General features: G+C 36.9%; 1 long non-coding RNA gene across 1 annotated transcript in view, besides 3 other annotated features; it reads right to left on the bottom strand.

Moving 5' to 3' along the window:
* Positions 6,999-9,056: an enhancer, noted in NCBI's record as "VISTA enhancer hs1371". NCBI's record gives its function as "enhancer in: midbrain (mesencephalon)[7/8] | forebrain[8/8] | limb[6/8]" and the evidence as "EXISTENCE:transgenic organism evidence [ECO:0001131][PMID:17130149]".
* Positions 13,964-17,866, bottom strand: part of LOC101927421 (uncharacterized) — a 330,904-nt gene continuing 327,001 nt past the window's right edge. The window contains exon 6 of the long non-coding RNA NR_109882.1: positions 13,964-14,098. This is a non-coding gene — a long non-coding RNA (uncharacterized LOC101927421). The remainder of the gene's footprint in view (positions 14,099-17,866) is intronic.
* Positions 16,418-16,984: an enhancer, noted in NCBI's record as "H3K27ac-H3K4me1 hESC enhancer chr5:124700407-124700973 (GRCh37/hg19 assembly coordinates)". NCBI's record gives its function as "activates a minimal SCP1, AML or CMV promoter by ChIP-STARR-seq in naive H9 embryonic stem cells {active_cell/tissue: H9 hESC(naive)}" and the evidence as "EXISTENCE:reporter gene assay evidence [ECO:0000049][PMID:30033119]".
* Positions 16,985-17,552: an enhancer, noted in NCBI's record as "H3K27ac-H3K4me1 hESC enhancer chr5:124699839-124700406 (GRCh37/hg19 assembly coordinates)". NCBI's record gives its function as "activates a minimal SCP1, AML or CMV promoter by ChIP-STARR-seq in naive H9 embryonic stem cells {active_cell/tissue: H9 hESC(naive)}" and the evidence as "EXISTENCE:reporter gene assay evidence [ECO:0000049][PMID:30033119]".

Raw genomic sequence — 17,866 nt, 5'->3', positions numbered from 1 at the left:
GGGATTACAGGCGTGAGCCACCGCGCCCGGCCGTGAATGATCTTTACTGTCCATATTTCTACTAACATTCTGTTCACAACCACTTAGTTATCTCTAAGACTGAGGCTTTTTCTGCAGTTCTCCTCTCCTTCTGAGACGTCACCAGAATCACACTTAATGCTCTGTTAATGGCAGTGCAGGCTTTTTCTACCATTCACTTTAAAACTGTTTCAGCCACTACCTATTACCAAGTTCCAAAGCCACATCCACATTTTCAGGTATTTGTTATAGCAACAGCATCATTTTTCTAGTATCAGTTTCTCTCTGAGTCAATTTCTTCTGTTCTAACAAAATACTCAAGACTGGATATTTTATGAAGAATTATATATACCAGATTTCCATATTGATGGACACATGTCACATAGGATAAGCACCCAGTACATATTTATATAATTCATTAATTTGTATGAATAAGTGAACAGAGATGAAAAACTAGAATATATATGTATATGTAACATAAATTCTTTTTTTTTTTTTTTTTTGAGATGGAGTCTCACTCTGTCGCCTAGTCTGGAGTGCAGTGGCGCAATCTCGGCTCACTGCAAGCTCCACCTCCCAGGTTCACGCCATTCTCCTGCCTCAGCCTCCCGAGTAGCTGGGTCTACAGGCGCCCACCACCAGGCCTGGCTAATTTTTTTTGTATTTTCTTTTAGTAGAGATGGGGTTTCACTGTGTTAGCCCATAAATTATTTATAAATATATAGTTGACCCCTGAACAACATAGGTTTGAACTGCACAGGTCCACTTACACGTGGATTTTCTTCCACCTCTCCCACCCTTGAGATAGCAAGACCAACCCCTCTTCTTCCTCCATCTCCTCAACACACTCAATATGAAGATGATGAGGATAAAGATCTTTTTCTTTTTTTAATTAAAAAAAAATTGTAGAGAAGGAGTCACACTATGTTGCCCAGGCTGGTCCTGAACTCCTGGCCTCAGACAATTCTCCCATCTCAGCCTCCCAAAGTGCTGGGATTACAGATTTGAGCCAGTGTGCCTGGCCTGAAGGTCTTTATGATGATTCACTTCTGTTTAATGAATAGTAAATATATTTTCTCTTCCTTATGACTTTCTTAATAACATTTTCTTTTCTCTAGATTACTTTATTATAAGAATACAGCATATAATACATACAACATACAAATTATGTGTTAATTGTTTAGGTTATCGGTAAGGCTTCTGCTGATCAACAGGAGGCTATAAGTTAAGTTTCTGGAAAGTCAAAATTATACAGAAATTTTTGACTATGTGGAGGGTCAGCATTCTTAACCCGCATGTTGTTCAAGGCTTAACCATGTATGTGTAAGTGTGTATGTGTGTGTGTGTGCACACATATATAATCTCAACCCTGTATATATAGTACTAACTTATAGTTTGTAACATTGTAAAAGATATAATCCAGAATATTCTCATCACAACAGCTGTCACTCTTCATTCCTTCCTCCTCACAGGCTCTGGTGACCATTAATCTACTTCCTATCTCTATGGAGATTTACATATTCTGGGTATTTCACGTAAATGGAATCACACAACACATGGCCTTTTATTCTGCCTTCTTTCACTTAGTATAATATTTGGAAATGTTGTCCATGTTGTAGCATGTATCAATACTTCATTTCTTTTTATGGATGAATAATGTTGCATGGTTGTGCCAAGTTTTGTTGGTTCATTTATCAGTTGATTGACATCTGGGTTGTTTCCACTTTTTGGCTATTATGAATAATGCTTCTATGAACATTCATGTACAAGTTTATGTGTGCACATATGTTTTCCATTTTCTTGACCATATACCTAGGAGTGGAATTTCTGGGTTGTACGGTAATACTATGTTTATCTTTTGAGGAACTGACAAAATGTTTTCCAAAGCAGTTGAACTATTTTACATCTTTACCCGAAATGTACGAGAGTTTTGATTTCTCCACATCCTTGTCAATACTTGTTCATCTTTTTCATTATAGACATCCTAGTGGGTATGAAATGGTATCTTATTGTGGTTTTGATTTGTATCTATCTAATAACTAATAACTTTCAGCATCTTTTCATGAGCTCATTGGTCACTTATATGTCTTTTTTGGAGATGTGCCTATTCAAATCCTTTTCTCCACTTTTAATTGGGATATTTGTCTTTTTATTGTCAAAGTGGAAGAGTTCTTTATATAGTCTGGTTACTATACCCTTATCAGATATATGTGTTGCAAATATTTTCCCATTCTCTGTGTTTTTTTCACTATTTTGATGGTGTCCTTTAAAGAACAAAAATGTTTAATTGTGATGAAGTCCAATTTTTATCTCTTATTTCTTTTGTTGCTTGTATTTCAGATGTCTCATCTGAAAAAACTGTTACCTAATCCAAGTCACAAAATTTTTCTCTAAGCATTTTAGAGTTTTGCTCTTATGCTTAGGTCTTTGATACATTGTGAGTAATGTTTTATATATGGTGTGTGGTAGGGGTCCAACTTCAATCTTTTGTATGTGGATTTTCATATATTTAGCACCTATGAAACAACGTATAGGATTTACTTTAAAATAACCCATAATGGGTTATAAATAATGGGGGCGGAGGAGTGAGTAAATATGTAAGTTTAAAAAGATTGGCCATGTTTTGGTAATTGTTGAAACTGGATGATATATGCACAGAGGTTCATTACACTATTCTAATTTTTATATATTTGACACTTTAAATATATAAAAATAAAAAAATAAAAAGTTGAACAATCAGGTACAACATCACTATTTTACAGCTTTGGAATAAGAATGTAAATGACTCGGGTTTACTTTTCCCATGTAGAAATGCTTTCTCAGTATATCTCAGAATATGTATATGTTTTTCCACTCCTAAATTGTGAAAAACAAATAGTCGAAAAAATCAGGAAAACAGGAGACAAGCATTTCAATGCTCCTACAAGATTTGGAGCTTGACAATCAACATAAGGACTGTATGATTAGAAGAAATCACTGATGTCAAGTTGAAAGCAAGAGCCGGGAATGCTGACATGGGAGTCAAGGGTTAAGGCTGACATTTTCATGAATAGGAGAAGAGCACATAAGAGAGAAGTAGTTCTCATCTAGCCACTCTTACTTGTAGTTGGATGTGTTCTTGGCTCTGACTGCTGCAAACAGTGAGTCATTTTCACAAATAATATAAATATTAATGAGCTTATTCACATAATATACTTTATACCAATCCTATCAATGGTGGTCCAAGAAATAAGCTTTAGAACCAAAATAAGTCCTTAAACTGGTAATTTTGATATACCATTCTATGTGTTGCTATTAGCCTTGCTAGAAGATCTAAATGTTATGTTATTTGAATGCTAGTTAATCATATTCTCTGGCATTCCCCAGAAATAGGGTAAGTGCTATGGTAGAGTTTCTTGTAAATACTTAAACAGAAAAAACATGCAAATAGAAAAAGATGTTATTGTGGAATATTACAACAGGAATTCAGAAATTGATCTAAAATCTCTATTAACAAAAGCAGTATTAATTTAAGTGACAATATCCAAATCAATGTCAAGCAAACAAAATGTTTGCATTATTAAAAAAATGAGATTCATGAAGCAACATATATCCTAATGCATAATGTTAAGAAGCTTGTGGACATATTCTTAACAAATTTGATCAGCGTCTTTGAAAAATACATGAAACTTTTCTGGACTGGAATATTTGTGAAAACTGACAATGGAAAAATGAAAAAAAGACCAAGACTATAAGTAGGCAATTAATGCTTTGTGAGTTTTAAAATTTCATCTTAAATATAACTTCTAATTATTAAATATATGTGGCATTTCAATTATTTAACTGGCTTTTGTCACTTATTTCATATAAATGTCATTTTCTTTAATGTTTTATTATCCAATTTCCATACCAGGTGGAGATCATTTTTATATGTTACTGAAAGATACAATGCTGTGAAAATCATGCTTTTATTATTATATTTTACATAAAACCTCTTAAATTTTTATATAAAAATGGTTCATAGTTTATCGTTACCACTCATGAACACAGGAAAAGTATTATGAAAAATGGAAAAAAACATATTATTTCAGGGCTGTCTTAGAATTTCCAGGAATTTCTATTTCTAGTTCCAGAATCCTGAAGATTATGATGTCAGGAATTTGGAAATACTACCTAAATTCTACTTAGAGACTGAAAAGTTATTGGATGAAGACTAGCAGCCTGGAAGAGGTAGGCTGCTGTGCTCCAGAAGGCAGTGGCCTGAGCTAGGAAGCTTTTAAAAATTACAAGTAATCATTCAGACTTAGTTAATGGAACTATTCCTCAGAGACAGCCAGAAACTCAGCAGGGAAGGAGACTTGGTAAAGAGCAGACATCCTGTATTCTGTGGAATCGGTGCTGAAAACACTATTTGATCATTATGGGGAAAGATGACTCCTAAAAGAACAGTTGGGGACATCTGATTTGGAAAGCATTTAAGTCCCAAAAGGAAGAATTACATGAACCCTGGCCATTCACCCTGCAAGACAGAAGGGGTAACTCAATCACTATTGTATAGGGAGTGTCAAGCTGTTCTTGACTACCATGGACAATCTCATAGAAGGAAATAGAAACAGTTGCAAGTGGACACAAGAAACAACTAAGTATCACTATGATGTTAACTGTTTAAGAAAGGTTGAAAATTACTGGTTCTGAATGGTAAAATTCATCTGAAGTACAAAGGTTGAGATCCTTGTGTCCTTCCAAAGTTATTTTTCTACAGATCTTAAGCACAAGTTAAAGTTTTATTTACTTCAGGCAACTACAAGCATCTATTAAGTTTTTTTCCCTGTGCCATGATCAAATATTAAATAAATCCATACAGTGAAACACAGATCATCTTGCAATCTAAATCAAAACAAATATTGAATTTAGTTGGGTATATTTCTCTTCTCATTCCTTTTTTTTTTTTTTCCTTTTTTTTTTTTTTTTTTTTTTTTGTGAGATAGAGGCTCGCTCTTGTTGCCCAGGCTGGAATGCAATGGCACAATCTCGGCTCACTGCTGCAACCTCTGTCTCCCGGGTTCAAGCTATTCTCCTGCCTCAGCCTCCCAAGTAGCTGGGAATTGCAGGCGCATGCCACCATACCTGGCTAATTTTTTTATATTTTTGGTAGAGATGGGGTTTCACCATGTTAGCCAGGCTGGTCTGGAACTCCTGACCTCAAGTGATCCACCTGCCTTAGTCTCCCGCAGTTCTGGGATTACAGGCGTGAGCCACTGCGCCCGGCCTCTCTTCTCATTCTTAGGGCATTAGTGGTAGAGGCTTGGGGGAGGGATAGTGTATGTGCGCACGTTAGTTTGAATGTGAGTGTGTGTGTGTTTGCGTGGGTAGGCAACGTATGAAGTAGGAAAGAGGTGATGTTACATGTTTATGTTAGTCGCACACTGTTAGATAAATTCTTGCTGATGAACATGAAGCAATACTTAAGAACATGAAAGATTTATTGCACCTTTCAAGAGAGGGCAGTTCTTTCTCTATTAGCCAAGATAATGAGGCTCAGTGCCTGTTTCACGGATGCAGCTGACTTTTTGCAAATTGAAAACAAACATGGACAAGCTTTTTGGTTTTCAAATGATTTTCAGAGTCAAAAGAGAATGCTGTACCCACAAATTTGCTTACTTGAAATAGAAAAACATTTCCATTTATTTTTCACATGAAAAGTTTTGACAGTTGAATTGAGGTGAACTGACTTTGGCAATTTTTCTGTTTGGCTTTTAATACTTACTGCTCTTTTAAAGAGAAACTTAAAGATCATTTAAGTGTATTATACTATTTTGAAATTGTATAGCATTTAACTAAAAACCTGAAAGCAATAATGCTTTTCAAGAATGGAAAAGAGGCATAATAGTCCATTAGAAGTGGGTTATTTGTATCATTAAGGAGAATTGTTATATGCTTTTGAATGAGAAAACACACTGAAGAAACAGAACTTGATGGTGAATGAACATTTGGTTAATAGTTATGCAGCATACATTCAAGAAGAAATAAAGATATATGTATGCGACTAATAGACAAAAGAATTTGAAACATAAGTTGCATATACCATTAAGGTACAATTATTCATGGAAAACCCATAAGAAGATTTTGTATCCACTTATATCATCATGTTAATACCCATTTTTCAAAGCTATCAATTTTGAAATATAATATGCTGTTTCCTCTGGTATTAAAAAGTTAAATAGCTGCCACTGAAGGATTTATACACTTGCCAGATGCTGCACAATTCTTCAGTCAAAACATAAGTATCTCAATCACAAACCATATGTACTTCCTCTTCTGTACTATGAACTGCAAATTCATCTTCATCCTCAACCAACCATGAGACTTGAAACACAGCCTGCCAATTAAATGGAAATGTACAGAATTGTACCGGGTTGCAGAGTGCTTGCAGTTAGGTGTGGTGTACCTAACATCCTTTTAGACACATACACATGAATGATACTTGCTGTCTTCATTTCTGTCTCCTAATTGTTGAATTAAAGCAACAACCAAAATTCTCAAAAACTAGTTTTAAATATGAAACAAAAGGAAGGCCTAAAGAAATCCATACAGGTGAAACCATCTCATATGGGGGAGATTACAGGTTTTTATTTCCTAGATTGAAAAATGAACATATCACTTACACTAAAACCCTCAGTAGGCACTTTCTAGGAGCAGAGAAAAATATTTTTCTTTTGATAGTCTCAAAAAGAAAATCACTAAATTAGCTTATTATCTCAATCTTTTTCAGTATTATCTTAAAAGCCCTGAAGGAGAGAATCTCTCTCTCTCCTTCCTCTCTCTCTCTCTCTCTCTCTCTCTCACACACACACCCACACACACAAATACTATGCATACACAATCAAATAGGATGATCAAAGGCAGCACAGTTCTGCATTGTAAAATTAAGAATTTTTTTCTGACATTTATTTGTCCCCTAGATTTGAGTGTTACCAAGAGACCATCTTGTCCAGATTAATTTTTGCTTAGCAGGTTCCAAATTTTATCATGTGTTCTCATGTTTCACAGCATCTGAACACTAAGCCTCTAGAAATTCTCTTTCAGCCTCTAATTTGTGACTTCTAATCTGCTGCAGTTTGGGAAATCAAATAATGCATCTTGCTATAATTGTATCCAATATCAGATAAAAGGGAACATGCCTGGAATGGGGGCCTAGAGGGGCCTCAGGTGACCTTCTGATGAACTTGATAATAGTTCTTCATATAGCCCTGGAAAATCACTTAAACTCTCTGAATTTCAGTTTTTTTCTTCTGTAAAATATGGAGCTGGACTCAGTGGTCTTTAAGCTCCTTTAATAGCTCTGGGACTTGTTTTGGTTCTCAATGGCAATATTTTTGTTGTTATTTTATGATTCTTGTTTCTTTTCTTAGCTTGCTGAATAAGAGACCTTTTGAAGTGTTACTGTGTTTTATTCTCGCAATTATTAATGGCAAGGTCTTTTCTAAGAATCCAAGTAGAAAATGATACTCAGTAGATAGGTCATATAAACTTTTCTGTTGTGGCATTTTAAAACATTCTATAGGTGTCAATGTACAGATTTACAATAATGTATTTGTATCATCCCATCGAGTCACATTATATCATTAATAAATGTTTGATGTTTGGATGAGTGAATGAACATGTAACAGGTCAGGTAGTATCACGCATCAATCAGAGAATGGGATTTAAATTTTAATGATTTTTCCATCATTCTTCATTTGTTTTTTATTTTATTTCTTTGGTTGTTTAGTTTACAAAAAAGGATCTGTCTCTTCCAAATTTATATGTAAATAGTATTTTTCAATCTATATGGACACAGAATAATTATTTTGATAGAAGTGATTCTTCACTAATATATTTGTTATTTGGCTTTCCTGAATCTCCTGTAACTAATATTGTAACTGAAATAAGCCATTCTGATATATACATATATATGTATATGAATGAGGAAATGACTAGCGATGATTGGTGGTTTATTAAAAGGATTTTTTTTTATTAACTAGCTGTGTGCAGTGAACCTAATTTCTTTCTTTTTACAACTTCCCTTCTATTACAAGCTGTTAAGCTCAGAGCCTAGATCAGCTAAACAGCAGACTCAGTAACAGTAAATGAAGTGCTGTGAGTTTACATCAGACTAATTAGTCTAAGGGATTAAAAAAAAGGGGGTGGGGGTGGGGGAAGGGCTTGGGAGGACTTTTCAGGTTGCTTTGTGAAAGGCAGTTTGCTTAATTAAGCCAACCACTAATTGTTAAATATTTTTTAGGCATTAACAGAGCTACTCTGAGTGTAATTAAATTTTGATTTTAGTGGTATTTGCCAGGATTAAAGTCACAATCTGCTGAGGCACTGGGGTTAGTTAATATTCACTTCACTGCCACAGCTGTCCTCCATTACAATACAAAGGACAGGAAAAGAGACAGCAGAGTGGGGGTGAAGTCATGAGAAAGCTATTCATTCATCTGAACCAGCTCTGTACTCCACAGCCTTGTGCAAATGGGTCTGAGCTGGATGACACACCACCAGGCATTAAATCCAATTTAATTTGATACAATGAAGGGATATCTAAGCCCTGCACGTTTTTTATTTTTATACATGAGACTACGGAATGTATTTAAAAAGTCATCATGTGATTATCATATGTTTCCATCCAAGTAATATTTCTGGATTTATTAGCTCTGTAGGAGTCCACCAGGATTGTAAACCAATTCGTGCTAGGCCATTATTTGTAGCAGCTGAGCATGAATGAGGGCTGTGGAGGGTGGTGGTGACTTTAAATCCCTGGTAAAATCTAACCTGGCATGATCAATGTTTTGAGGTTTTTTTGGTGTGGTTTTTTTTTTTTTTTTTTTGGACCAAGACTGCCAAAAAGAAAAACCAATGGGGTTATATGCGCTTGAGATGGTTGAAGCTCAGCATTCTTCCCATGATTGACAAGGAACATTTCCACTGCTGACTCGTAACATTGCTGGCGATTCCTGTGTTTTTTGGTCATTTTAATATTTTAATTAAATAGCTTTAAGCAATGCCTCGCAGTTATTCCATACTCTGGGTAAGCATAAGAAATCATTTTGTCCTCTGTTCCACTCCCCCCACTCCACAAAATAAGCTAATCAAGAAAGTGTTCAATTATTACACTGGCTATTAATAGTAGAACTTTCAGAATAATCTACAATGTAGGGTCCCTGCATCCACACAGAGGCCATCTGTGGTATTAGGCTCACCATATATACAAAACACCAGCCTTGGAACTAGCTTTCCAATACAAGTTAGGACTGGATGTATTAAGTGTGAGGGATCAAGTTGCTTATGTCTTATTTAGGCAAAAAAAAACTTTATTTAAAAAAAAGTCACCAAGAACTGGTGTTTACCTTGACATTAGAATAAAGAGAATGAAAATGAAAAATAAAAAGGGAGAGAAAGCGCTGGGCACAGTGGCTCATACCTGTAATCCCAGCACTTTGGGAGGCCGAGGTGGGTGGACCACGAGGTCAAGAGATTGAGGCCACCCTGGCCAATAAGGTGAAACCCCGTCTCTACTAAAAATACAAAAAAATTAGCCGGGCAAGGTGGCGGACGCCTGTAGTCCCAGCTACTCAGGAGGCTGAGGCAGGAGACTCACTTGAACCTGGGAGGCGGAGGTTGCAGTGAGCCAAGATTCTGCCACTGCACTCCAGCCTGGTGACAGAGTGAGACTCCGTCTCAAAAAAAAAAAAAAATAGAAAAAAAAAAAAAAAAGAGGGAGAAAAAGGAAGAAAAAAGGAACTGAAAGGAAAAGAAAGAGAAGACAAAAGAAATAAAGAAAACAGATCAATCTAGCAAACTTTCATCTCAAGGGAATTTGAAGTCAGCATTTCTATTCATAATCAAACAAGTTCAAAGACCAACTCGTTTGTATTAGTCATATCTTCTGTAATCTCATTGAATTATTTTATAGTGAACCCTACATTTGAGTTTGTGCTTTAATAAAAATTACTGTCTGACTGTTTCTGCAGGCAAAGTGAAGTGGAGAGATGAGTGGATTATATAGGGCAAACACCTTGAATTTCAATTAATATTAGCATAATTTAATTCTAGTGTTAAGATGACCTTGGCCCAAAGGACTGGGTGATTTTTTTAAGGGGCTTTTATTTTCACATGAAGCCCCCACTCAGCAACTGCAAAACAATTTCTATAGGATAGGTCAAAGCTTCCTACTGAAAAGAACACTATGTAGTACTTTAGGAAGAAATTTAACTGAAAGCAACAAGCATTAACCATACAATCCAAATATGCTGTGTAAATATCTCACAATGCCTCAATCTCTTGGGTCTGTAAATGACTAGAGGTGACAGAACATTCTTCTCCCTACATTAGTAATGCCTCTGCTGTGTGACACTTTCTTCTACCTGCTGACATAGAAAACTCTCCTGGTGCCTTAGATGGCCATGTGGTGGTCATTTCTTACTCCCCTCCTTTTACTTTCTTAGATGGCTGCAGAGTTTTCATTTAAAACTTTTAATCTTAGCAAAGGAAATAGCTCTTTATTTCCTATACTGCAGTTACATTAATAAATGAATTAATTAAACAAACAAAAAACAAAACCACTCCCAAGCAGGGCATTTTTCTCTTTTGCCATCTTCTTGTTACTAGTCTCATGGGCTAATCACCACCCCCAGTCCCAAGGGAAACTGCAATTTTCTAGTTATTTGTATTTCAGATCTGGAAGCCCTTCTCTTTACCACCCTTTGGCTGGGGAGCAGGAACAGACATTCTTCTTTGCTTCAGGGTACTTTACCCTCAATATATTATCCAAATAAAAATCTAAGCAAGAGAGACAAAATCCAATGATTTCCATGTATAATAATAATATTCACTATTACCATCCCTTAGATGCAAAGATAAAGCCTCTGATTCACCATCTAAAAGGGGCACATGCTTTTATTCTCAAGAGACAGAAGCCTAGATGTGTTATGCTAATCAGACCACAGTCCTCTTTGTTGGTTCCTTGCAAAGAACAACTGTGGACAATTTTAGGATGGCTTTTCATGAATGGGGTGTCCCATTACCATGAAAAACACCAAAGCTAGCTAGCTACCCACACAGCATAGATAGTAGCCATCTCTATGCTTAAACTAAAGAATCATGCTTCAATAAACTGAGCTACTTATTCACAGACAGGGTTGAATTGACTCTGGTTCACACTGTCCAAATTCATGAAGGAAAATTTCCATTTGCCTATGGAAATACAAACCTGTCTGATTTATAATTTGCAGTTGCCATCATGATATAATATAAGCTTACAAAGTAGAGTTTGCTTGATATTCCAGATCTCTTCCAACCAAACCGATACATTAATGTTTCACTCTTTGCTGGAGTTTACTTTAAAAGCCTCCCTTTCCCTTCAACATTATCAATCTTTCCTACTCATCTCTGTTTAATAGGTTTAAGAACAACTTGGGCAATATTTGGATTACTATTACATTTCTTTTTAAATTATTCAGTTCATGCTCCAAGTGGAAAATCGGTAGTGTCTTTGTAAATTTATATTCATTTGATCCTTAAAGTTCTGTAACACAATAAACTTGGAACTAGGAAGTAACATTATTCTGTTGGCATGTATGATTTGTTAGGTGATCTAAGCCTATTTTGGAAGCATTTTGCAAAGCTTCAGTTAAAGGTTTTCATAACAAGTATATAATGTACTAAAATTTAGGCCAAAATTGTGCAGGGAGTTCTTAACAGGGTATGAAGCTAAAGCTAAATCAGATTTCTTGTTGTTTTAATCATACTTACAGAGTTTTCTCTGTATATCCCAACAGGAAAAATTACCTCATTGTGATAGTAACAAATGATATTTGTTATTTCCCGTTTTGCATCTGAAGAGGGGGTGGGGGTGGCCAACATCATGTCATGACCTGTGCCAGCCGTGTTGTACATTTCTCCTGCTTTTTGTGAGATACAAATATTTATATCATGCAAAGGCTTTGCTTTTCTACTCAGAATTCTGTGCTTAGAAGACCACAGACATTAAGTGATAATAAACAGCACAGTTTGAGTCCTGTGGCCACTCTGGATGATCAAGTTGAGTTGGACTGCAAGAAAGCAAGTGCTTGTTTAACACATGTATGATATAATTAAGGAAAGACTCTAGGGAAATTATCCAAAGCACATAAGAATCAAATAGACTCACTTTAACAAATATAAAAACTCTGTTCACATAAAAGCTTTCTGTGGCTTTGTAAGGGCTCATATTGGAAAAAAATGGGGGAGAGGAATAGATATTATAATTCATTCTGAAACTATATAACATAAGTAAATGAACAATAAAAGTGATAAATTGGGCAATAAAAAATTATAGAAATAATGCTGTCACATACCAGGTATTCGTTAAATTGACTTCTCAATGTAATTACTTTAACATTTCTACTTCTGATTCAGTACAGATTTTTGGATCATTAAGTACGATAGTAAATATTATACATTTTTCAGGAAAATAATTTATGGCCTAACAAATTTTCCAACAGAAAATCCCAAAGTCGGACAACCAGACTAGCATTTTTTGTAGTCAATTTTTGGACTTAATTCTTCAAAACAGTTTCAACAAATCGGTATTGCACACCTGCTATGCACTAAATATAGTGTGGTAAACTAGCACATAATAGACATATGGCAATTGTTTCAGGTACTCCTGTATTTCCAGGGGATTTTGTGGATATACTTTATACTTTATATAATATACACTCTATGCATGATATAATAATTTCTTTGGGTATGACGTTTTTATTCCCAACTGTGATGGCACCATCACTGCCTCTAAGGAATGCACAATTTAAAAAGAAAACCATATATACAACTAAATATCGACAAAGTACTGTAAAAAGACAGATGATTCCACTGGGTGACTATAGTCAATAATAACTAAAAGAGTGTAATTGGATTGTTTGTAATACAAAGGATAAATGCTTGAGGGGATAGATGCCCCATTCTCCATGATGTGCTTATTTCACATTGCATGACTGTATCAAAATATTTCATGTACCCCATAAATATATACATCTACTATGTACCCACAAAAATTAAAAATATTAAAAGAAAAAAAGAAAACACATGATCAATTCTTCCTGAAAAAGGTTAAAAAAAAAAAAGGTTTTAAGAAGATGATGTTTGATTTAGATCTTCAGACTATAGGAATTCACCAGACAGAGAGGTGAATGAAGAACCTTCAAGCCTGGAAACAGCATAAGGCAGACAGGCAGAAGCACGTGGCATCTACGCTCAATGACGGAGCCTTCCTACTCCAACAGAGGCTTGAGTGGAGGCATTGGCATCGCCTGGGAGCTTGCTAGAAATGCAGAATCTCAAGCTCCATCCTTGGACTTCTGAATCAGAATCTACATTTTAACGATATTTCTAGGTGATTTGTATGCCCACTTGAGATGAAAACACACCAGTTTAGAGGGCTTTCGTTGTTGGAGTGTTGGAAGTCCATGCAGCTGGAAAAGGTGGACAGAAACTAGATAAGGACACAACAAGACTACAATATTTAGAAGCCTGAAGTTCATCCCATAGCCATGGGTAAACCACCCAAAGTTTTGTGAAGAGCAGAATAATATTACAAAAATCAATGTTTTAGGATGCTAATGCTTTTAGAAAACAGTGAAGAAGAAAACTACCTAGGGTATTTTTGTAACAATTTAGATAAGAGACTATGATAAATCCCTGGCCTGAGACAATGGTAGTAAAAATGGAAAGAATGAGACATATTTCAGAGACATGCCACAAAAAGGATTGCCAAGATTTTATCATAGCTGTAAGAGGCCAAAATTAGACAGGGAAGACTGAGAAAAGGAGTCACTCTAGGAAGTGACTAGTTTCAAGATGAACTATAATATATTGTTGAAGGCAAAAGTAAGTGAAAGCTGTAAGAGCTATAAAGGGAAAGAAACTTCAAAACTAGGATGCCAGATGGGTCAACGGTAATAACACCAGTCATTTATTCAGTCATTCATTTATTCAAAAATGTTTGTTAATTGTCTGGTAATTGCCAGTTTCTTATCAGCACTGAGGAAACTCTGAGTCTCTGTCCACAAGATCTCATGTTCTAGAAGAGACGGAAAACAAATAGGTAGATGAATGAATATGCAATTTTTTTTAGGTGGAGATTAGAGTTAGTGTTATTTTTTAAAAGTATGGTAAGCTCAATAGTCAGAAGCTATTTTAATTTTTTTTTTTTTTTTGAGACAGGCTCTTGTACTGTCACGAGGCTCAAGTGCAGTGGCATGATCATGGCTCACTGAAGCCTCAACCTCCTGGGCTCAAGCCATCCTCCCACCTCAGCCTCCCAAGTAGCTGAAACTACAGACTCATGCCACCACACCTGACTAGTTTTTTAAAAAAAAAATTTTTAGAGATGGGGTCTCATTATGTTGCTCAGGTTGATCTTGAACTTCTGGCCTCAAGTGATCCTTCTGCTTCAGCCTCCCAAAGTGCTTGGATTACAGGGGTAAGCCACTGAACCTGGCCTCAGAGGCCATTTTAAGTACAGAGCTCAGGAAAGGGCTCTGTGAGCATGGCCGTTCATGGCAAAGGAAAAAGGTGATGTATGTAGAACCAACTTGGGAAATTCAACTACTTTAAGAAGACATTTATTTTGTTTCACTGTTTTGCAGGAAAAAAAAATGGAGTCAAAATTATTTTAATAACCAAGATGATAACTTACATTTCCATGATTTTCATAGTTTTATACTTTTACATATGTTATCACATCTGACTCATATAATCCTTTTGAAAGGGAGAGAGGACAGGTTTTACAGATAAAAAGTCCAAATTTAAAATAGGTGGGGTAATTTGGTCAAGATTCCATAATTAAAAATTATGAGATCTTTTGACTTATAGATGAGTTAACTATTAAATGATTAATTATACATTAAAGTTTGTTAAGCATAGAAAAGAGAGAGACTCAGGCTACAGATCTAAAAATATAAACTTCTTTATGTTAGATTAAAGATGGCTGCAATTTTTTTTTTTTTTTTTTGAGACAGTCTTGCTCTGTCACCCAGGCTAGAGTGCAGTGGTGCAATCTCATCTCACTGCAACCTCTGCCTCACGGGTTCAAGCAATTCTCCTGCCTCAGCTTCCCAAGTAGCTGGGATTACAGGCACGCACCACCATGCCCAGATAATTTTTGTATTTTTAGTAGAGACGCGGTTTCACCATGCTGGCCAGGCTGATCTTGAACTCCTGACCTTGTGATCTGCCCGCCTTGGCCTCCCAAAGTGCTGGGATTACAGGCGTGAGCCATGGCACCAGGCCTTCTATCCAGGAGTGAAGTCTAATTCCCATCCTTTTGTATCTGGGTAGGTGTAGTTACTAAATTACAAATGAAAGATTGAGATGGTGATAAGATATACTTTATGATTAGGCTTCTTCATAGGCTAGACCCACAGAAGCCTAGCAGCAGGATTCTGTCTCTCTAGGTAACATCACTCACTCTGGGGAAAAGCTAGCCACTATGTAAAAAAAAAAAAAAAAAAAAAAAAAAAAAAAAAAAAAAGGGAAAAGAAAAGTCTGAGCATTTTGAAATCCCCATGCCATGAAGAAGATCAATGAGCCATGTGGGGAAGCTGCATGATGACAAATATCCAACTTTTTCCAGCTATTCCAGCCATGCCAAGCCCCAACCCAATACATATGAGTGAAGACACCTTCAGATTACTCTAGATTCAGCCACCTCTAGCTGCTATTTCATGGCAACCACATAAGAAATCCCTAGTGAAAACCACCCTGCTGGATCCGGTCAAGCCACAGAACTGAGATAGTAATAAATTATTGTTTGATGCCATCAAGTTTGGGGGAAGGCATGCAATAGCATTAAAAACGTAAATAAATGGATACTAACTGAACAAAGGACTTTGAAATTATTTTTTTTCTTTCATAGGTATCACATTCTACAACAACCACATAAACATCCACATAATTCAAAGGATATTAAAAAAAGTAATGACTTATTTTGGATTTATAAGGTGTTTTAGATGTAGTGCTCTGAGGAAACAATACAGCATCAAAGAATGTTAAATCTGTAAGATGCCTTTCTTAGAAAACCATTAGTCTGATTCTCTCAATTTGCATATGAGGAATGAGAGACAGAGAGAGGGAGAGAGAGAGAGAGAGCATGAAAAATTCCATTATTTACGGAAATTCATGCAAACCTTGTGAAAAACCCAAGGCCTTTGGACTCATACTTTCCTCTCTCAGAAGACATTTTAAAAATCAGTATTCAATAGATGAATGAAATTGGCATAGTATTATTTGCTTAGTAATGAAATTTTATATTGTTAGATGAATCCAAGCATTATAAAATTAGACCTAAATCTTCAACTCCAAAAGCAATACCATTTGTTTTTCTGATGTTCTGTACAATATTGCATGGCAATTTAAAAACAAATGTGTTTAGAAAAAAACTCCTCAATAGGAAAAAAAATCAGAAAATTGGTTGCCTGTATGGTGGAATGGAAATTGACTAGATGGGCACAAAAGTACTTTCTAAGGTGATGAAAATGATACATGTATTTTAATTGAAGTATAGATTACATGGGTGTATATATTTACAAAACTCATGGAACTGTTTTCTTAAGATCTGAGTATTTCACTGTATATAAATTACTTCTTGGAGGAGCCAAGATGGCCGAATAGGAACAGCTCCGGTCTACAGCTCCCAGCGTGAGTGACGCAGAAGACGGGTGATTTCTGCATTTCTATCTGAGGTACCGGGTTCATCTCACTAGGGAGTGCCAGACAGTGGGCGCAGGCCAGTGGGTGCGCGCACCGTGCGCGAGCCGAAGCAGGGCGAGGCATTGCCTCACCTGGGAAGCGCAAGGGGTCGGGGAGTTTCCTTTCTGAGTCAAAGAAAGGGGTGACGGACGCACCTGGAAAATCGGGTCACTCCCACCCGAATATTGCGCTTTTCAGACCGGCTTAAAAAACGGCGCACCACGAGACTATATCCCACACCTGGCTCGGAGGGTCCTATGCCCACGGAATCTCGCTGATTGCTAGCACAGTAGTCTGAGATCAAACTGCAAGGCGGCAGCGAGGCTGGGGGAGGGGCGCCCGCCATTGCCCAGGCTTGCTTAGGCAAACAAAGCAGCCGGGAAGCTCCAACTGGGTGGAGCCCACCACAGCTCAAGGAGGCCTGCCTGCCTCTGTAGGCTCCACCTCTGGGGGCAGGGCACAGACAAACAAAAAGACAGCAGTAACCTCTGCAGACTTAAATGTCCCTGTCTGACAGCCTTGAAGAGAGCAGTGGTTCTCCCAGCACGCAGCTGGAGATCTGAGAACGGGCAGACTGCCTCCTCAAGTGGGTCCCTGACCCCTGACCCCCGACCCCCGAGCAGCCTAACGGGGAGGCATCCCCCAGCAGGGGCACACTGACACCTCACACAGCAAGGTATTCCAACAGACCTGCAGCTGAGGGTCCTGTCTGTTAGAAGGAAAACTAACAAACAGAAAGGACATCCACACCGAAAACCCATCTGTACATCACCATCATCAAAGACCAAAAGTAGATAAAACCACAAAGATGGGGAAAAAACAGAACAGAAAAACTGGAAACTCTAAAACGCAGAGCGCCTCTCCTCCTCCAAAGGAACGCAGTTCCTCACCAGCAACAGAACAAAGCTGGATGGAGAATGATTTTGACGAGCTGAGAGAAGAAGGCTTCAGACGATCAAATTACTCTGAGCTACGGGAGGACATTCAAACCAAAGGCAAAGAAGTTGAAAACTTTGAAAAAAATTTAGAAGAATGTATAACTAGAATAACCAATACAGAGAAGTGCTTAAAGGAGCTGATGGAGCTGAAAACCAAGGCT

Source organism: Homo sapiens, chromosome 5 (genome assembly GCF_000001405.40).
Source record: "Homo sapiens chromosome 5, GRCh38.p14 Primary Assembly".
In the NCBI taxonomy this organism is placed as follows: domain Eukaryota; kingdom Metazoa; phylum Chordata; class Mammalia; order Primates; family Hominidae; genus Homo; species Homo sapiens.
Note: the sequence above shows the minus strand (reverse complement) of the source record. Positions and strands in the feature narration are given on the sequence as shown.